The sequence below is a fragment of the Homo sapiens genome, chromosome 2 (genome assembly GCF_000001405.40).
Source record: "Homo sapiens chromosome 2, GRCh38.p14 Primary Assembly".
NCBI classification, from domain to species: Eukaryota; Metazoa; Chordata; class Mammalia; order Primates; family Hominidae; genus Homo; species Homo sapiens.
Window position 1 is genome coordinate 202,694,065 of NC_000002.12, and position 22,194 is coordinate 202,716,258.

At 40.5% G+C, this 22,194-nt stretch overlaps 1 protein-coding gene across 1 annotated transcript in view, besides 1 other annotated feature; it reads left to right on the forward strand.

Annotated features, from left to right (window-relative positions):
* FAM117B (family with sequence similarity 117 member B) overlaps positions 1–22,194 on the forward strand; it is a 134,789-nt gene that overhangs the window by 59,096 nt on the left and 53,499 nt on the right. The window contains exon 2 of the mRNA NM_173511.4: positions 1,817–1,968. Within this exon, the coding sequence (NP_775782.2) occupies positions 1,817–1,968 (152 nt within the window). The remainder of the gene's footprint in view (positions 1–1,816; positions 1,969–22,194) is intronic.
* Positions 20,363–21,044: an enhancer, noted in NCBI's record as "NANOG-H3K27ac hESC enhancer chr2:203579150-203579831 (GRCh37/hg19 assembly coordinates)". NCBI's record gives its function as "activates a minimal SCP1, AML or CMV promoter by ChIP-STARR-seq in primed H9 embryonic stem cells {active_cell/tissue: H9 hESC(primed)}" and the evidence as "EXISTENCE:reporter gene assay evidence [ECO:0000049][PMID:30033119]".

Here is a 22,194-nt window from a genome sequence, read left to right on the forward strand (position 1 = left end):
TTATACATAGATTTATTTTCCAATTATTAAATCATGTATGAGGTGTTGGTTGGTACTTAAAGTTTATTTTGATGTATCAAAGCTTGGCCTGCATTATTGAAGATGTTATTGCAAAACCCACTTCTTTTTTTTTTTTTTTTTTTTTGAGACAGAGTCTCACTCTGTCGCCAGACTGGAGTGCAGTGGTGCGATCTTGGCTCACTGCAACCTCCAACTCTAGGATTCAAGCGATTCTCCTGCCTCAGCCTCCTCGGTAGCTGGGATTACAGGCGCCCGCCACCACACCTGGCTAATTTTTGTATTTTTAGTAGAGACGGGGTTTCGCCATGTTGGCCAGGGTGGTCTCGAACTTCTGACCTCAGGTGATCCTCCTACCTCGGCCTCCCATAGTGCTGGGATTACAGGCTTGAGCCACCACGCCTGGCCAAAACCAACTTTTTTATATGTGTCTTTCCTCACATTACTTATTAATGTGAGGAAACATTAATAAGTAATATGCTTTATTGCCACCATATTATTTTACTATTTTAATTTACATTGGATGTCTTATAACTATTATATTGGCAAATACCCACTTTGTTTGCTCAGAAATGAAACCTACCCCTGTTACAAAGCTGGTGGTTGGTTCTTGGCACTTGATTTGGTTTATGCATGCCCTAGGATACTCTCAAAGGCAAGGGATCAATTAGCAAGGTGTTAATTTGTCTTAATCTTTTGGGCTGGTACTAAGTTATTGTGAAGCAGATGTGTTATTACTCCATCCTCTGTGAAGATTGAGGAATAAGATGATCACTAAGTGCCAGTATTACTTTTAGATGTCATTATCAAATAACATTGTCACTAATTTTTTAGTGACAATATTTAGTGAAAGATTGTCACTGATTTATTTTATATTTTCCCATGATAATTACCTTCCTGTCTTATTTTCATTATGTCCTCCCATTTCCCTGAAATGTATCGAACAAGGGTTTAATTTATAAACAAGAAGGAGATCCAAATAAGAATTTGTTGGATATGAGAGATACATTGATTCTATGGAAAATTCCTGGGCCCAATCCCTGGAGATTTAGATTTGCTAGGCCTAGGGTGGGTCAACTGTTTTCACTCAGTATAGTTCTCTGGAGAGTCATGAAAGTTATTGCGTGTATGAGTAGCTTGTTCCTTTTTGTTTCTGTTTATATACAGTAATCCTTATCCTTTTTTTTTTTATGGTTTCAGTTACTTCTAGTCAACCTTGGTCTGAAAAGATTAAGTGGAAAATTTCAAGAAATAAACAATTTATATGTTATAAATTGCGCCATTCTGAGTAGGGTGACGAAATGTCTTGCTATCTCGCATCCCCCACCAGGAACGTGAATCATTCCTTTGTCCAACGTATGCACGTTGTCTATGCTCCCTACCTGCTAGTCACTTTGGAGCCCTCTCAATCGTTGGATTGACTGTCATGGTTTTGCAGTGCTGATGTTCGAGGAATTTTTGTTTTACTTAATGGCCTCAAAGCCCAAGAGCAGTGATGCTGGCTTGTTGTTATACTTGTTCTATTTTATTATTAGTTATTGTTGTTAATCTCATGCTGTGCCTAACTTACAAGTTAAACTTTATCATAGATATGTATATATAGGAAAAAACAGTGTATATAGAATTGAGTACAATGTGCCATTTCAGGCATCTTTACTGGGGGTCTTGGAAGTATCCCCTGTGGTTAAAGGGGATTACCATAGTTAAGTTGGAGAACTTTCTACATAGTTTAAAACTTAGTTTCTGCTTTGTTTCTTTCCTAATTTTATTAAAACAAGCATTTTTGTCTTAAATCTAGGTGACAAAACACGACAGCCTTCTTCAAGCCCCTCCAGTATTATCCGACGCACTTCCTCCCTGGATACTCTTGCTGCACCGTATCTTGCTGGACACTGGCCTCGGGATAGCCATGGGCAAGCTGCACCTTGCATGAGGGACAAAGCTACACAGGTAAGCTTATTATAGTTCTTATCCTGAAGTGTTTTTCTCTGAAGCTACTTCTTCTAATATTATTTGTTCTGCTTTGAGTAGAACAAACATTTAGTGTATATTAGAATTAACTTGAGAAACTTACCAAAAAGAGCAGATTCCAAGCCTGACCTCCAGGTATTCTGTAGTCGGTTTTGGTTGGGGCCTGGGAATGTGCATTTTAAATAGCTATCAAAGTAATTCTGATACATACAGATAATTTATGGACATACTTTTTTTTCCCACTTATTCTTTATAAGTTAGTTTACAACAGGGGTGTCCAATCTTTTGTCTTCCCTGGGCCACATTGGAAGACGAAGAATTGTATTGGGCCACGCATAAAATACACTAACACTAATGAGCTTAAAAAAAATTGCAAAAAATTCATAATGTTTTAAGAAAGTTTACGAATTTATGTCGGGCTGCATTCAAAACCATCCTGGTCCTCATGAGGCCCATGGGCCGCAGGTTTTGGACAAGCTTGGTTTACAATATCATAATATATTTAATATATGGAATTTGGTCTTAAAAATTTGTAACAGCAAAGATTAGTGACCATCTAACTTTACGTTTTTGTGCCAAAAAAACCTTCATGTTTCGGGAGATGGGGACTGTATTACTTTGCTGATCCTAAAAATGTAAATATTCTGACAAAGGGACTCTGGAAGCAAAGTTTTATACTTCTGGGTTTGTAAAATTGTTTAATAGAAAGGGATCTCAAGAAATCATTCAGGGCCAGGCGGGATGGCTTACGCCTATAGTGCCAGCACTTTGGGAGGCCGAGATGGGTGGATGGCTTTTGAACCCAGGAGTTCAGTACCAACCTGGGCAGCATGGCGAAACCTCATCTCTGCAAAAAAATACAAAAATTAGCCGGGCATGCTGGTGCACACTTGTAGTACCAGCTACTTGGGAGGCTGAGGCAGGAGAATCACTTGAACCTGGGAGGTCAAGGCTGCAGTGAGCAGTGATCATACCACAGCACACCAGCCTGGGCAATAGAGTGAGAACCTGTCTCAAAAAAAGAAAAAACAAAGAAGAAGAAATCATTCAGGTCTACCCCTTAGTTTTACAGATGAAGAAGTTGAGGTCTAAGATCATACAGCCAGTTGAAGACTGCATCTTAGTTTGGTGTAGTTTCTTACTTACCACAATTATAACTAGTTAAATATTTGTGTAGTTATTTATTTATGGCTTCTAACATTCACTAGATAGTAAGACCCATGAAGATAGGAATTGTGTCTGGCTTGTCTATTGCTGTATTTCCATGCCCAGGACTTAATACTAAATGCAGAATAAATGGCCCAAGGAATATTTGCAAAGGAATGAATGAGCAAAACAGTTACAGCTTTATTGCTAGTGAAGAATGAAAAACATTTAAAGATTTAAAAGATTTTTTATACTGATTGTTGAAAGTCAGGTAGGGTACATCTTGATTTAGACTTCAGATTTACGTTACTCCTGGTCTCAACATTTTTTGAAGATTTTTTTTTTCTTTCTTTTTTTTTTTTTTCCCCTGAGATAGAATCTCGCTGTGTCGCCCAGGCTGGAGTGCAGTGGTATAATCTTGGCTCACTGCAACCACTGCCTCCCGGATTCAAGCGATTCTCATGCCTCAGCCTCCCGAGGAGCTGGACTACAGGCGTGCACCACCATTTCTGACTAATTTTTGTACTTTTAGTAGAGACGGGGTTTTACCATGTTGGCCAGGCTGGTCTCAAACTCCTGTCCTCAAGTGATCTGCCTACCTCGGCCTCCCAAAGTGCTGGGATTACAGGTGTGAGCCACCACACGTGGCCCGAGATAATGTTTTTTATTTTTATTTTTATTTTTTGAGATAAGTTTCTCTCTGTTTCCCAGGCTGGATGGAGTACAGGGGCACAATCTTGGCTCACTGAAACCTCCACCTCCCGGGTTCTAGCAATTCTCTTGCCTCAGCCTCCTGAGTAGGTGAGATTACAGGCACATGTCACTACGCCCAGCTAATTTTTTGTGTTTTTAGTAGAGACGGGGTTTTGCTGTGTTGGCCATGCTTATCTCGAACTCCTGACCTCAAGTGATCTGCCAGCCTCCCAAAGTGCTGGGATTATAGGCGTGAGCCAAGGTGCCCAGCCCTGAGAGAATGTTTATTAAAGAACCGAGTAAACACTTTTCTGTGATGGTTTTGGATTTGTATATTGATTTCCAAAATTCCAGGTATTCTTAGTGGGCTCAGTTTATTTTCTGTTCTGATAATCTTGAAACGGAATCCTACTGTTAGGGCAGACAATTGGGATTTGGATTACCTTGGTGTTTATACTTTAGTGCAAACTACAGAAATGAAAATGTAGACTCTGTACTCATCAAAAGTAATGAATCTTTTCTGAAATTGACTTTTTTTTTCTTTTTTTGGAATGGAGTCTCACTCTGTTGCCTAGGTTGGAGTGCAGTGGCCTGATCTCAGCTCACTGCAACCTCTGCCTCCTGGGTACAAGCAATTCTCCTGTTTCAGCCTCCCAAGTAGCTGGGACTACAAGCGCACGCCACCACGCCTGGCTAATTTTTGTATTTTTAGTAGAGATGGAGTTTCACCATATTGGTCAGGCCAGTCTCAAACTCCTGACCTCAGGTGATCCACCCGCCTTGGCCTCCCAAAGCGCTAGGATTACAGGCATGAGCCACCGCGCCCAGCCTAAAATTGACTTTTTTAACCAAAGAGTTCTGTGAAACTCTGTAGTTATTCACAATCTGTAACTTTGCTGAGCTTAGGGCATGTAGTTTGGAAAATGAATACGGTGTCCACTTGCTTTCTGCTTAATCCACATGTCACATTTAAATTTGTAGAAGTTTATTTCCTTGAGCATTTCTACAGCACCCTTTATTTCCACTGCAGTTTTAGGTTCAATGGGTTCAGACATTTTGTCATATTAGTAAGAGTATGCTATCATACAAGCCATTGGGAGCCTCTTGATCTGTGGATGCAGTTCAGTAAGTCTTTTCAGCAAATTGCTGTGACCTAACAATTGAATTAAAATATAAACCCTATATTCCTTGCCTTTTTCTAAATATCCCCCAAATTGAGAATGTTAAGGGTACAAATAAAAAGAAAATTTAGATCTGGGTGTGGTGGCTCACGCCTGTAATCCCAGCACTTTGGGAGGCTGAGGTGGGCGGATCACCTGAGGTCAGGAGTTCGAGACCAGCCTGACCAATATGGTGAAACTCTGTCTCTACTAAATATACAAAAATTAGCCAGGCGTGGTGGCGTGCACCTGTAGTCCCAGCTACTCGGGAAGCTGAGACAGGAGAATTGCTTGAACCCGGGAGGTGGAGGTTGCTGTGAGCCGAGATCGTGCCACCTCACTCCAGCCTGGGTGACAGAGTGAGACCCCATCTCAAAAAAAAAAAAAAAAAAAAAAGAAAAAAAAAAAAAAAGAAAGAAAGAAAATGTATAATTATCATACTGTTAATCTTATTTGTAAAGCTCGTGTAGAATCTCCTAAAGGATAACTGGGTACTCCATCCTTTCAGTTACATGGTGGGCTCTCATCTTTGGCAAGTGAATTTAGCAGTAACACAATTAATCAAAAACTCTCAAATACCTTATTTGCAGATATTGGGTTTCCCTAAGTGTATGCTAGTTAAATCAACTTTTAAACATTGTGGTAAAATATATATAACAAGGTTTGCTGGTTTGACCATTTAAAAATACATGCCTATGTCATTTTATTGAACTTTATTGGGCTTCGCAGATATTGTGTTTTTTTACAAATTGAAGGTTTGTGGCAACTCTGCCCTGAGCAAGTCTGTAGGTGCCATTTTCCAAAAATGTGCTCACTTTGTGTCTCTGCCCCATTTTGGTAGTTCTTGCAATATTTCAGCCATTTGCATTATTATTGTATCTGTTATGGTGATCTGTGCTCAGTGATCTTTGATGTTACTGTTAATTGTTTTGAGGTGCCATGAACCATGCCTATATAAGACGGGGAACTTAATTGATGAATGTTGTGTGTATTCTGACTGCTGTTCTGCTGAGTCTCTCCCTCTCATTGGGCCTCTTTGTTTTCTCAGACACAACAGTATTGAAATTAGACAAATTAATAACTTTACAATGCCCTCTAAGGGTCAAGTGAGGTGAAGAGTTACATGTCTCTCTATTTCAATCAAAAGCTAGACATGATTGAGCTTAGAAAGCAAGGCACGTCAAAAGCTGAGATAGGCCAAAAGCTAGGCCTCTTGTACCAAACAGCTAGCCAAGTTGTGAATGCAAAGGAAAAGTTTTTGAAGGAAATTAAAAATACTACTTGAATGAGCATTATGAATGATAAGAAAGTGAAACAGCTTTATTGGCAATATGGAAAAAGTTTTAGTGATCTAGATAGAAGATCAAACCAGCCACAACATTTCATTAAGCCAAAGCCTAATCTAGAGTAAGACCTTAATTCTCTTCAGTTCTTATGAAGGCTAAGATAGGCGAGGACGCTACAGAAGAAAAGTTTGAAGCTAACAGGTTGGTTCATGAGGTTTAATGAAAGAAGCCATCTGCATAACATAAAAGTGAAAGGTGAAGCAGCAAGTACTGATATAGAAACTGTAGTAAGTTATCCAGAAGATCTAGCTAAGATTACTGTTGAAGATGGCTACACTAAACAAGAATTTTTTTTTTTTTTTTTTTGAGATGGAGTCTTGCTCTGTCACCTAGGCTGGAGTGCAGTAATGCAGTCATAGCTCGGTACAACCTTAAACTCCTGGGCCCTGGGCTCAATCAGTCCTCTTGCCTCAGGTTCCCAAGTAGCTGGGACTGTAGGCACACACTGACATGCTTGTATTTTTTCTTTTTTAAATGTTTTTGTAGAGACAGGATCTTGCTATGTTGACCAGGCTGGTCTTGAACTCCTGGCCTCAAGCTGTCCTCTCACCTTGGCCTCCCAAAGTGTTGGGATCACAGGTGTGAGCCACTGCACCCAGCTAGATTTTTAATGACAAAACAGCCTTATCTTGTAAGAAGATGCCGTCTAGGACTTTCATAGCTAGAGAGAAGTCAATGCCTGACTTTAAGGAACAGGCCAACTCTCTTGTTAGGGGCAAATGCAGCTGGTGACTTTAAGTTGAAGCCAGTACTCATTTACCATTCTGAAAATCCTAAGACCCTTAAGAATTATGCTAAATCTACTCTGCTTTTGCTTGATTCATGGAACGACAAAGCCTGGATGCCAGCACGTCTTTTTATAGCATGATTTACTGAATATTTTAAGCCCACCATTGAGACCTACTGTTCAGAACAAAAGATTACTTTCAGAATGTTACTGCTCATTGGCAATGCAACTGGTCACCCAAGAGCTGTGATGCAGATACACACAGAGAGGAATGTTGCTTTCATGCCTGCTAACACAACATCCATTTTGCAGCCCATGGTTCCAAGAAATAATTTTGACTTTCCAGTCTTATTATTAAGAAAATACATTTAATGAGGCCATAACTGCCATAGATAGTGATTCCTCTGATGGATCTGGGCAAAGTAAATGGAAAAGCTTTTGGAAAAGATTCACCATTCTAGGTGCCATTAAGAACATTTGTGATTTGTAGGATTAGGTCAAATATCAACATTATCAGGAGTTTGGAAGAAGGTGATTCCAAGCCTCATGGATGACTTTGAGGGTTTCAAGACTTCAGTGGAAGAGGTCATTGCAGATGTGGTGGAAATAGCAAGATAACTAGAATTAGAAGTAGAACCTGAAGATGTGATTGAATTGCTGCAATCTCATGATAAAACTTAAGCATGACAAATTGCTTCTTATGGATGAGCAAATAAAGTGGTTTCTTGAGATAGAATCTACTCCTGGTGAAGATGTGGTGAATATTGTTGAAATGAAAACAAAGGATTAAGAATATTACATAAACTAACTTAGTTGTTAAAGCAGTAGCAGGTTTTGAGAGGGTTGTCACCAATTTTGAGAGAAATTGTACTATGGGCAATATGCTACCCACGCAGCATTGTGTGCTACAGAAAAATCTTTTGTGAAAGGACCTGAGTCCGTTGATGCAGCAAACTTCATTGTCATCTTATTTTAAGAAATTGCTGCACGGGTGCGGTGGCTCACACCTGTAATCCCAGTACTTTGGGAGGACGAGGTGGGCAGGTCATGAGGTCAGGAGTTCGAGACCAGCCGGACCAACATAGTGAAACCCCTTCTATATTAAAAATACAAAATTTAGTGGGGCATGGTGGTGTGCACCTGTAATCCCAGCTACTCAGGAGGCTGAGGCAGGAGAATCGCTTGAACCCGGGAGGCAGAGGTTGCTGTGAGCTGAGATCACACCATTGCACTCCCGCCTGGGCGACAGAGTGAGACTCTGTCTCAGAAAAATAAAGAAAGAAAGAAATAAAATAAATAAAAAAGAAAGAAATTGCTGTAGCCACCTTGGCCTTCAGCAGCCATCACCCTGATCAGTCAGCAGCCGTTAACATCAAGTCAAGACCCTCCACTGTCAAAAAGATTGTGACTTATTGAAGGCTCAGATGATCATTAGCATTTTTTTTTGAGACGGAATCTTGCTCTGTCGCCCAGGCTGGAGTGCAGTGGCACAGTCTCAGCTCAATGCAAACTCCGCCTCCCAGGTTCACGCCATTCTCCTGCCTCAGCCTCCTGGGTAGCTGGGACTACAGGCGCCCGCCACCACACCCAGCTAATTTTTTGTATTTTTAGTAGAGACGGGGTTTCACTGTGTTAGCCAGGATGGTCTCGATCTCCTGACCTCGTGATCCATCTGCCTCGGCCTCCCAAAGTGCTGGGATTACAGGTGTGAGCCACTGCGCCCAGCCACATTTTTTAAATCAATATTTTAAAATTAAGATAGGTATGTTTGTTAAGACATAATGTTATTGCACACTTAATACACTATAGTATAGTGCAAACATAACTTCTATATGCACTGGGAAACCAAAGAAATTCATGTGACTTGCTTTATTGTGTTACTCCCTTTATTGCAGTGGTCTGGAACTGAACTCCCAATATCTCTTGAGTTATAACTGTATATAATTTAGTGGCATTAATTACATTCACAATGTTGTGCAACCATTGCTAACTATTTCCAAAACTTTTTCATCACTCCAAAAAGAAACCCTGTAACTCCCCATCCTCCTTTTTTCCTCACTATTAATACCACTGGCAGTTAATACTTAACCACTATCTCACTTTCTGTTTCCATGAATTTGCCCATTTCATGTAAGTGGAATCATACAGTTTGTTTTCCTGCATCTGACTCATTTCACTTAGCATAATGTTTTTGAGGTTCATTCATGTTGTATCATGTATTGAACTTAATTCCATCCTTACTTCCTCCTACCTCCTTCCCTGTGTTGCCTAGGCTGGAGTATAGTGGGATGATCACAGGTCATTACAGCCTCGACCTCCTGGGTTCAAGGGATGCCTCCCCTGCCCAGCCTCCTGATTAGCTAGGACTATGGGCTTGCACCACTATGCCCAGCTAGTTTTTTGAGTTTTTAGTAGAGACAGGATCTTTCTATGTTGCCCGGGCTGGTCTAGAAGTCCTGGCCCCAAGAGATGTCCACTCTGGCCTCCCAAAGTGCTGGGATTACAGGCAAGAGCCATCACACCTGGCCTTAATCTCTCTTAATGGGTGAATAATATTCCATTTATCAATATACCACATTTTGTTTACCTGTTAATCTGTAGATGGATATTTGGGGTGTTTCTACCTTTTGACTGTTCTGAACAATGCTGCAGTGTACATGCAAGTATCTGTGTGAATCCCTGCTTTCAGTTCCTTTCGATATATACCTGAGAGTGGAATTGCTGGGTCATATGATAATTCGATGTTTAGTTTTTAGAGGAACTGCCAAACTTTTTCACAGCAGCTGTATCATTTTCTATCCCCATGTATGAAGGTATATAATTCCAGTTTCTCTATATATTTACTAACACTTGTTTGAAAAATTATAGTCGTCCTAGTAGGTATGTTGTGGTATGTAATTGTTAGGATTTGTTTCCCCATATAACTAATGGTGCTGAGTATCTTTTCATGTGCTTACTGGCCATTTGCATATCTCCTTTAGAGTTCAGACACTGTCTTAACATCTCTGTGCCTCTGTTTCCTTTTTGTAAAATGGGAGAACTATAGTACCAATTTTTTGAGGTTACTTTGAAGATTAAATAAAGAAAACATATAAAACTCTCGGAACAGTATCTGGCACCTAGTAAGCATTCAATAAATGTTCTCTGTTAAATTAAAAATTAAAGTGATTACCTTTATTGTCAGATTTGAACAAGGATGGAATGTAGGTTTTATCCCCTAAGGAATTTGATCTATTGCTATTGCCTTCCTGGAGCATCCTGTTGAGAAGATGCAGGATAAAGATTGCTGAGACTGATAAGTGATTTCTGCCTTTAGCAAGGGACCTGGGGCACTTTTAGCAGTTATTTGCCTGTCTAGACACTGCTGCAGCAAAGAGTATGTTGGAAATACTTTATCTTAGGTTGTAAGTGGGTGCTTTCAGAAAGCTGATGTAGACTTTTGGCAAATTTTATCATGTCACTACTCTAAGCCCTGGTTTCTTGATTTTCTTTTTGAGACAATCTTGCCCAGGCTAGAGTGCAGTGGCACAATCTCAGCTCACTGCAGCCTCTGCCTCCCAAGTTCAAGCAATTCTCTTGCCTCAGCCTCCTGAGTAGTTGGGATTATAGGTGCCCACCACCATGCCCGGCTAATATATATATATATAGTATTTTTAGTAGAGATGAGGCTTCACCATATTGGCCAGGCTAGTCTCGAACACCTGACCTCAGGTAATCCGCCTGCCTCAGCCTCCCAAAGTGCTGGTGTATTGCAGGTGTGAGCCAGTGCGCCTGGCCTGATTTTGAAATAATTATGTATTACTCTCAGGCCTTTCCACCTCCTAGGGGAAGATTGGAAATGGGAGAAGGATTCTGGAAAATACAGAGAAAGAGAAATGCAGCATTTAAAAAGTTAAGAGGGCCGGGCGCAGTGGCTGACACCTGTAATCCCAGCACTTTGGGAGGCCGAGGCAGGTGGATCACCTGAGGTTGGGAGTTTGAGACCAGCCTGACCAACATGGAGAAACCCCATCTCTACTAAAAATACAAAATTAGCCGAGTGTGGTGGCGCATGCCTGTAATCCCAGCTACTCGGGAAGCTGAGGCAGGAGAATCGTTTGTACCTGGGAGGTGGAGGTTGCAGTGAGTCAAGATAGTACCATTGCACTCCAGTCTGGGCAACAAGAGTGAAACTTCATCTCAAAGAAAAAAAAAACAAAAAAAGTTAAGAACATGGAACAAGTTTTGAAAGATGTTAATCTCTCCTGTTGCATACCCCACCTCATCATTTGCTTTGGTCATGAGAATGAGTGAATGATTAAGGTTTTACTGTACATGATTATTTGTCATCATAATTACTTGACACAAAGGTATTCTCTTTTTTTCCTGTCTGTTTGGCAGCCATTCTTTATTCTGTGTATGTTCAAATAGCCTGAGAGCCTTTTAGCTTAGTGCTCCAGCATGTCAGTGGGCCTAATTGCCTATAAGACTGATTTGCCATTTCTGCTTTAGAGTTTGTACAGAGCTACAATGTCACCAACCTCTGCCCCCACACTGCCTCCGTGTTCTTTTAAAGATTCTTGTCTGATCCTTTGCGAGTTTGCCTTCCAAAAACGTTAGACTAATTTATATTTCCAGCATTAGCTACCTATGTGGCAAATCTATTAATTTGGTTTAAACTACCTGATTTTCAGAGTGCCTTTTATATTTGCTGACTATACCAATTTAGGGAGAGAAACTGTAGTGTGTATGTGTGCTTGCATTATTTGGGATTCCTTTGACTCAGAAGGTATTTTCTTTCCAACTTTCTTAACCTAGGCTTATTTACCTTATAGGTGATTTATCTGAGTATTTAACTTTTTGTGACCCACGTGATTGATGTCTGGTTTTCTTTCCTATTTCCTTCTTATTTTTAACATTTTTTTAGAGACAAGGTCTCACTGTGTTTCCCAGGCTAGAGTGTAGTGGCTATTCACAGGCATAATCACCGTGCACTATAGCCTCAAACTCCTTGGCTCAAGGGATCCTCCTGCCTCAGCCTCCTGAGTAGTTGGGACTACAGTCGCATGCCCCCACATGTCTTTCTCTTTCCTGTTTCTTTGGTTTGGTTTCTTTACGGCATAAACCAGTCATCTTTTGCTTTTAAAAGTCTTACATTATTTTTTCTTGGACCCTCTGTGTTTCTGAGGCTATTTTTTTAAAAACCCTCAAAGGTTGATTTTGATTAATATTTTATGAAAGTGTTTGTTTTTTCTAAAAGGACCTTGGCTTCAGAGTATTTTATGAAAGTATTTTATTTTTACAATTTATAGGTTGGCATTTGCTATTTATGGAAAAGTTCTGAGTTTTCCAGTTTATGGAAAAGATCTGAATTCAGAAACTTTGTAAGATGTCCTGTGATTAAAACAATAAAAGTTGAATATTTGTTAAACTAGAGGTATTTGTTGAATTACTGAAGACAGCTGTTTATAAATCTACAAACTTGTTTACAGGTTGTTTTCTTTGAATTGAAAGAATAGTCTGTAATTTAGAGTAAAAATATCACTATTTTACATATTTGGTAGATCTAAGCATTACTAAAAAGTATATTTTAATGTTATGAAAATGAAGAAGTAAAATTACTTTTTGAGTAACAGCTGTTTTGAATAAAACCTTGGTCTACTGGTTGAAATTAGAATGTAACAGGAGTGAGTAGAAAGTGTAACATTAGGAGTAAAAGAAATGTTAAAATCTTTTTTTGGGGGCCTAAATTCAGTGACTTCAGTGTAAGTTCTGTTGTTGCCTGTCAGTAGCTTTGCCTTCCTTAGGGTAAGCCTAGGAGTCTGAGAATTTTAATTTCGAAATCTTTACTACTTGGAGTTGTGTTCCTGTCCTTTCTTATTTCACATGTTAGATCAAATTTCTCTAGGCCAGTGACACCATACATTGTTTTTTGTTGTTGTTGTTTTTATTTTTATTTTTTTAGGGTTTTGCTTGTCACCAGCTGGAGTGCAGTGCCATGATTGTGGCTCACTGCAGCCTTGACCTATCATGATTAAGCAATCCTCCCTCCTTGGCCTCCCAGGTAGCTAAGACTACAGGTGCATGCCACCACACCTGGCTAATTTTTAATTTTTTTTTTTTTTGTAGAGATGCGGGCCTTACTATGTTGCCCAGGCTGGTCTTGAACTCCTGGACTCAAGCCATCCTCCTCCCTCAGCCTCCCAAAGTGTTGGGATTACAGGTGTGGTCCACTGGGCCTGGCCCATTAAATAGGCTGGGCACATCTAGCAGATGAAGGGTTATATTTTGGAATCCTTTAAAACAAATAGTTTCATGGCCAGGCATGGTGGCTTATGCCTGTAATCCCAGCACTTTGGGAGGCCACGGTGGGTAGATCACTTGAGCTCAGGAGTTCAAGACCAGCCTGGCCAACATGGTGAAACCCCGTCTCTACCAAAAATACAAAAAATTGGCCAGGTGTGGTGGCGTGTGCACTTGCAATCCCAGCTACTCGGGAGGCTGAGGCACGAGAATCACTTGAACCTGGGAGGTGGAGGTCACAGTGAGCTGAGATCGTGCTACTGTACTCCAGCCTGGGTGACAGAGTGAGACTCTGTCTCAAAAGTCATTCAGTCAGTCCATCAATCAATCAATAAAACAAATAGTTTCATGATTGTGTAACTTAATTTTTTTTTTTTTTGAGACAGAGTCTTGCTCTGTTGCCCAGGCTGGAGTGCAGCAGTGCAATCTTGGCTCACTGCAGCCTCCGCCTCCCAGGTTCAAGCAATCTCCTGCCTCAGCCTCCCGAGTAGCTGAGATTACAGGAGTGTGCCAGCATGCCCAGCTCATTTTTTGTATTTTTGGTAGAGATGGGGGTTTCACCATGTTGGCCAGGCTGGTCTCGAACTCCTGACCTCAGGTGATCCACTCGCCTTGGCCTCCCAAAGTGCTGGGATTACAGGCATAAGCCACCACGCCCAGCCTAATTTTTTATTTTATTGTCAGAAGAGATCTACTCTCAACAAAATTTTACGCGTACAATACAGTATAAATATAATAGGTATGATAATTATACAGCAGATCTCTAGAACTTACTCATTTTGCTTAACTGAAACTTTATTTCCATTGGTTGGTAACTCTCTCCATCCCCCCAGTCCCTAGCAATCACCATTCCATTTCTGATTCTATGATTTGACTATTTTAGATTTCTCATATAAGTTGAATCATGCAGTATTTGTCTTTTTGTGGCTGACTTATTTCATTTAGTAGGATGTCCTCACAGTTCATCCATATTATCATATACTGCAGAATTTCTTTTTTTTTAAGACTGAATGCTTGAATAATATTCCATTGTATGTATATACCATAGTTTCTTTATCCATTCATCTGCCAATGGATATTTCTACACCTCTGCTATTGTGAATAGCGCCGCAGTGAACATGTGAGTGCAGATACCTCTTTGAAATACTGATTTCAGTTCTTTTGGAATTGCTAGAGCATGTGGTTTTTCCATTTTTAATTATTTGTTTTGTTTTTAGAGACTGGGTCTTGTTCTGTTGCGCAGGCTGAAATACAGTGGCGTGATCTTAGCTCACTGCAGCCTCGAACTTCTGAGCTCAAGTGATCCTCCTGCCTCAGCCTCCCAAATAGCTGGACTCTAGGCATGTGCCACCACACCTGAATAATTTAAAAAAAATTTTAGAGATGGAGTGTCACTTTGTTGCCCAGGCTGATCATGAACTTTTGGCCTCAAGCGATCCTCCCACCTCAGCCTCTCCTGCGTCACTGAGATTATTGGTGTGAGCCACTAGGCCCAGCCAATTTTTAATTTTTTGAGTGACCTTCATACTGTTTTCCATAGAAGCTCTACTGTTTAGTATTCCCAACAACAGTGTACAGGCGTTCCACTTTCTCTACATCCTTACCAACACTTGGCTTTTTGGTAATAGTCATCCTGACAGGCGCGAGATGATACTTCATTGTAGTTCTGATTTATCTTTCCCCAATGACTAATGTTGAACATTTTCTTACATACCTCTTGGTCATTTGTGCATCTTCTTTGGAGAAATGTCTATTCAAGTCCTTAGCCCACTTTTTTTTTTCCCCAAGTCCTTAGACCTTTTTTTTTTTTTCCAGACAGGGTTTCGCACTTGTTGCCCAGGCTGGAGTACAATGGAGTGATCTCAATTCACTGCAACCTCTGCCTCCCGGGTTCAAGCGATTCTCATGTCTCAGCCTCCCAAATAGCTGGGATTACAGGCACCCGCCATCACGCCCAGCTAATTTTTGTATTTTATTAGAGATGGGGTTTCATCATATTGGTCAGCCTGGTCTTGAACTCCTGACCTCAGGCGATCTGCCCCCCTCTGCCTCCCAAAGTACTGGGATTACAGGCGTGAGCCACCACGCCTGGCCAGCCCATTTTTTAATTATTAGTTTTATTGCCATTGAGTTGTATGTGTTTCTTACGTATTTTGGAGATTAGCCTCTTATCAAATATATAGTTTGCAAATATTTTCTTATTTCTTAGGTTGCTTTTTACTCTGTTGATTGTTTTCTGTGTTGTGCATAAGCTTTTTAGTTTTTGCTTTTTTTGGTCTGTGCTTTTGATGTCATAGCCATGAAATCATTGTCAAGACCAATATCATGAAGCTTGTCCCCTATGTTTATTTCTAGGAGTTTTATAGTTTGTGTCTTATATTTAAATCTTGAATCAATTTTAAGTTGATTTTTGTATGGGGTAAGAGTCTAGCTTCTTTCTTTTGCATGAGGATATTCAGTTTCCCCAGCACCATTTGTTGAAGAGACTGTCCTTCCCCCATTGGCACCCTCATTGAAGATTGGTTGAGTGTTAATGTGTGGATTTATTTATGGGCTGTCTATACTGTCCCATTGATGTATGTCTTATCTTTATGCCAGTACTATATTATTTTTATTACTGTAACTTTGTAATATGTTTTGAAATCGAGAAGTATGATGCCTCTAGCTTTGTTCTTTCTCAAAATTTATTTGGCTATTCGTGGTCTTTTGTAGTTTCACACGAGTTTTAGAATTATTACCTATTTCCATAAAAATGCCACTGGGATTTTGATAGGGATTGCATTGAATTTGTAGATGACTTTGGGTAGTGTGGGTGTTTTAACAGTATTAAAAGTCTTCCAGTCCATGAACATGAAATGCCTGTTTGTTTATGTCGTCTTTAATTTCTTTAATCAATGTTTTTTAGTTTTCTGTATATAAGTCTTTCACTTCCTTAGTTATGATTATTCTTATGTTATTTTTTGGTGCTGTTGTAAATGAGATTGCTTTCCTAATTTTCTTAATTTTTTTCTTATACACATAGGTGTATATATTTATGGGGTAGCTGAGATATTCTGATATTTGATGCAATATATTTGATTATAATGCATAATAATCACATCAGAGTAAATGAGATATCTATCACCTCAAGCATTTATAATTTCTTTGTATTACAGACATTCCAGTGATATTATTTTACTTATTTTTAAATGTATAATAAATTACTGTTTACTGGAGTCACCCTGTTGTGCTATCAAATACTAGATCTTATTCTATCTAACTATATTTTTTGTACCCATTAACCATCCCCCTTCCCTTCTTGCCTGCTGCTAACCTTCTCAGCCTCTGATAACCATCCTTCTACTCTCTGTCTCCATGAGTTCAGTTGTTTTAATTTTGAGCTCCCACAAATGAGAACCTGCAAAGTTTGTCTTTCTCTGACTGGCTGATTTCACTTAACATAATGTCCTCCATTCATGCTGTTGCAAATGACAGGATCTCTTTTTTTTTGTTATGGCTGAATAGTACTCCATTGTGTGTATGTACCACATTTTCTTTATTCATTTGTCTGTTGATGGACACTTAGGTTGCTTCCAAATCTTGGCTATTGGGAACAGTTTTGCACTAAACATGGGAGTGCAGATACCTTTTCAATATACTGATTTTCTTTCTTTCAGGTATATGCCTAGGAGTAGGATTGCTGGATCATATGGTTCCTCTATTTTTTGTTTTTTTGAGGAACCTCCAAACTGTTCTCCTTAGTGGTAGTACTAATTTACATTCCTGCCAACAGTGTATGAGGGTTCCTTTTTCTCCACATCCTTGCCAGTATTTGTTATTGCCCGGCTTTTGGATAAAAACCATTTTAACTGGGGTGAGATGGCATCTCATTGTAGTTTTGATTTGTGTTTTTCTGATGAACAGTGATTGAGCACTTTTACATATACCTGTTTGTCATTTGTATGTCTTTTGAGAAATATCTATTGAGATATTTTGCCCATTTTAAATTGGATTATTAGAGTTTTGCCTATTGAGCTCCTTTTATATTTTGGCCATTAATCCCTTGTTGGATGGATAATTTGCAAATATTTTCTCCCATTCTTTGGGTTGTCTTTTTCACTCTGTTGATTGTTTCCATTACTGTGCAGAAGCTTTTAACTTGATATGACCCTATTTGTCCATTTCACTTTGGTTGCCTTTGCTTGTGGGTTATTACTCAAGAAATCTTTGCCCAGACAAACATCATGGAGAGTTTTCCCAATGTTTTCTTGTAGTAGTTTCATAGTTTGAGGTCTCAGATTTAAATCTTTAATCCATTTTGATTTCATTTTTGTATAAGGTGAGAGATAGGGTCTAGTTTCATTCTTCTGCATAAGAATAACCAGTTTCCCCAGCACCGTTTATTGAACAGACTGTCCTTTCCCCATGTATGTTCTTGGCATCTTTGTCAAAACTGAGTTCACTGTAGATGTATGGATTTATCTCTGGATTCTCTCTTCTATTCCACTGACCTCTATGTGTCTGTTTGTATGCCAATACCATGCCATTTTGGTTACTGTCATTCTGTAGTATAATTTGAAGTCAGTAATGTGATTCTTCCAGTTTTGTTCTTTTTGCTCAGGATAACTTGGGCTATTCTGGGTCTTTTGTGGATCCTTATAAATTTTAGGATTTTTTTTTCCATTTCTGTGAAGAATGTTATGGTATTTTGGTAGAGATTGCATTAAATCTGTAGATTGCTTTGGCTAGTATGAACATTTTAACAATATCTATTCTTTTAATCCATGAACATGGGATTTCTTTCTTTTTTTGTGTGTCTTTAATTTCTTCACTCAGTGTTTTACAGTTTTCAATGAAGAGATCTTTCACTTCTTTGGTTAATTCCTAGGTGTTTTATTTTATTTGTAGCTATTGTAAATGGAATTACTTTGCTGATTTCTTTTTCAGATTATTTGCTGTTGGCATATAGAAATATCACTGATTTTTGTATGTTGATTTTGTATCCTGCAACCTTGCTGAATTTATCAGCTCTCTTTTTTTTTTTTTTTTTTTTTTGTGCGTGTGGAGGCTTTAGGTGTTTCCAAATATAAGATCATATTATCTGCAAACAAGGATAATTTGACTTCTTCCATTACAGTTTGGGTGCCTATTATTTCATTCTCTTGTCCAGTTGCTCTGTCTAGCTCTTCCAGTACTATAATGAGTAACAGTGGTGAAAGTGGGCATCCTTGTCATATTCCCTATCTTACAGGAAAGGGTTTCCATTTTTCCCTATTCAATATGACACTAGCTATGGGTCTGCCATAAATGACTTGTATTATGTGGAGATATGTTCCTTCTGTACCCAGTTTTTTGAAGGTTTTTATCATGAAGAGATGTTGGATGTTATCAAATGCATTTTCAGCATCAAAATGATCATATAGTTTTTGTCTTCATTCTGTTAATGTGATATATCACACTGATTTGCATTTGTTGAACCATCCTTGCATCCCTGGGATAAATTCCATTTGGTCATAATAAATGATCTTTTTAATGTGTTGTTGAATTCAGTTTGCTAGTATTTTGTTAAATTTTGCATCAATATTCATCAGTGATATTGGCCTATAGTTTTCTTTCTTTGAAGTGTTTGGTTTTGGTAACAGGGTAATACTGGCCTCGTAGAATGAGTTTGGAAATATTCCCTCCTCTGTTTTTCAGAATAGTTTTAGTAGGATTGGTGTTAGTTCTTCTTTAAATGTTTGGTGGAATTCAGCACTGAAGCCATTGGGTCCTGGGATTTTCTTTGCCGGGGTGCTTTTTATTATGGTTTTGATTTTGTTACTTGTTATTGGTCTGTTCAGGTTTTGGATTTATTCATAGTTAAATATTGTTAGGTTGTGTGTGTCTAGGAATTTATCCATTTATTCTAGATTTTACAACGTATTGGCATATAGTTGCTCATAGTAGCCAATAATGATCCTTTGAATTTCTGTGGTATCAGTTGTAATATCTACTTTTCCCTCTCTGATTTTATTTATTTAGATCTCTCTTTTTCTCTTAGTCTGGCTAAAGATTTGTCAATTTTATCTTTTCAAAACCCACCTTTTTGTTTTGTTGATCTTTTGTATTGTTGTCTTCATGTCAAATTCATTTATTTCTGTTCTGATCTCTATTATTTTTTCTGTTAATTTTGTGTTTGGTTTGCTCCTTTCTGGTTCTTTAAGATGCATTATTAGGTTGTTTATTTCAAGTTTTTCTTGTTTTTTGATGTAGGCACTTTTAGCTGTAAAATTCCCTCTTAGTGCTACTTTCACTGTATCCCATAGATTTTGGTATGTTGTGTTTCCATTATTTTTTTTGAGAAGGAGTTTCGCTCTGTTGCTCAGGTTGGAGTGCAGTGGTGTGATCTTGGCTCACTGCAACCTCCACCTCCTGGGTTCAAACAATTCTCTTGCCTCAGCCTCCCAAGTAGCTGGGATTTCAGGCACATGCCACCATGCCCAACTAATTTTTGTATTTTTAGTAGAGATGAGGTTTCACCATGTTGGCCAGGTTGGTCTCAAACTCTCAACTTCAGGTGATCCACCTGCCTTGGCCTCCCCAAGTGCTAGGATTACAGGTGTGAGCCACTGCGCCTGGCCCTCCATTATCATTTGTTGTAAGAAATTTTTAAATTTCCTTCTTAATTTCTTCATTGACCCATTGGTCATTCAGGAGCATATTGTTTAATTTTCATTTTTTTTTATAGTTTCCAAAATTCCTCATTATTGATATCTAGTTTTATTCCACTGTGGTCAGTGAAGATGCTTGATATTATTTCAGATTTTTCAGAATGTGTTAAGACTTTTTTTTGTGACCTAACATAGTCTGTCCTTGAGAATGATCCATGTGCTGAGGAAAGAATGTGTATTCTACAGCTGTTGGTTGAAATGTTCTGCAAATATCTATTAGGTCCATTTGATTTATAGTATAGATTGAGTCTGATTTTTTTGTTGTTGATTTTATGTATAAATGAACTGTTCAGTACTGAAAGTGGGGTGGTGAAGTCTCCAGCTGTTATTGTATTGGGGTCCATCTCTATTTAGATCTAATAATATTTGCTTTATATATTTGTGTGCTCCAGTGTTGGGTGCATATATATTTACAGTTGTTATATCTTTTTTTTTTCTTTTTTTTTTTTTTTTTATTGATCATTCTTGGGTGTTTCTCGCAGAGGGGGATTTGGCAGGGTCATAGGACAATAGTGGAGGGAAGGTCAGCAGATAAACAAGTGAACAAAGGTCTCTGGTTTTCCTAGGCAGAGGACCCTGCGGCCTTCCGCAGTGTTTGTGTCCCTGGGTACTTGAGATTAGGGAGTGGTGATGACTCTTTAACTAGCATGCTGCCTTCAAGCATCTGTTTAACAAAGCACATCTTGCACCGCCCTTAATCCATTTAACCCTGAGTGGACACAGCACATGTTTCAGAGAGCACAGGGTTGGGGGTAAGGTCATAGATCAACAGGATCCCAAGGCAGAAGAATTTTTCTTAGTACAGAACAAAATGAAAAGTCTCCCATGTCTACTTCTTTCTACACAGACACAGCAACCATCCGATTTCTCAGTCTTTTCCCCACCTTTCCCCCTTTTCTATTCCACAAAACTGCCATTGTCATCATGGCCCGTTCTCAATGAGCTGTTGGGTACACCTCCCAGACGGGGTGGTGGCGGGGCAGAGGGGCTCCTCACTTCCCAGAAGGGGCAGCCGGGCAGAGGCGCCCCCCACCTCCCGGACGGGGCGGCTGGCCGGGCAGGGGCTGACCCCCCACCTCCCTCCCGGACGGGTCGGCTGGCCGGGCGGGGGCTGACCCCACACCTCCCTCCCGGACGGGGCGGCTGGCCGGGCGGGGGCTGACCCCCCACCTCCCTCCGGGACGGGGCGGCTGGCCTGGCGGGGGCTGACCCCCACCTCCCTCCCGGACGGGGTGGCTGCCGGGCGGAGACGCTCCTCACTTCCCAGACGGGGTGGCTGCCAGGCGGAGGGGCTCCTCACTTCTCAGACGGGGCGGCCGGGCAGAGACGCTCCTCACCTCCCAGACGGGGTTGCGGCCGGGCAGAGGCGCTCCTCACGTCCCAGACAGGGTGGCGGGGCAGAGGCGCTCCCCACATCTCAGACGATGGGCGGCCGGGCAGAGACGCTCCTCACTTCCTAGATGTGATGGTGGCCGGGAAGAGGCGCTCCTCACTTCCCAGACTGGGCAGCCAGGCAGAGGGGCTCCTCACATCCCAGATGATGGGCGGCCAGGCAGAGACGCTCCTCACTTCCCAGATGGCATGGCGGCCGGGCAGAGGCTGCAATCTCGGCACTTTGGGAGGCCAAGGCAGGCGGCTGGGAGGTGGAGGTTGTAGCAAGCCGAGATCAGGCCACCGCACTCCAGCCTGGGCACCATTGAGCACTGAGTGAATGAGACTCCGTCTGCAATCCCGGCACCTCGGGAGGCCGAGGCTGGCGGATCACTTGCGGTTAGGAGATGGAGACCAGCCCGGCCAACACAGCAAAACCCCGTCTCCACCAAAAAAATACGAAAACCAGTCAGGCGTGGTGGCGCGTGCCTGCAATCGCAGGCACTCGGCAGGCTGAGGCAGGAGAATCAGGCAGGGAGGTTGCAGTGAGCCGAGATGGCAGCAGTACAGTCCAGCTTTGGCTCGGCATCAGAGGGAGACCGTGGAAAGGGGAGAGGGAGAGGGAGAGGATATCTTTTTGTTGAATCGACACCTTTATCATTATGTAGTGACCTTCTTTGTCTCTTCTTACAGTTTTTGTCTTCAAATCTGTGTTGTCTAAATATAGCTACTCCTGCTCTTTTTTGGTTTCCATTTGCAAACAACATCTTTTTCCATCCCTTTTTTTTTCA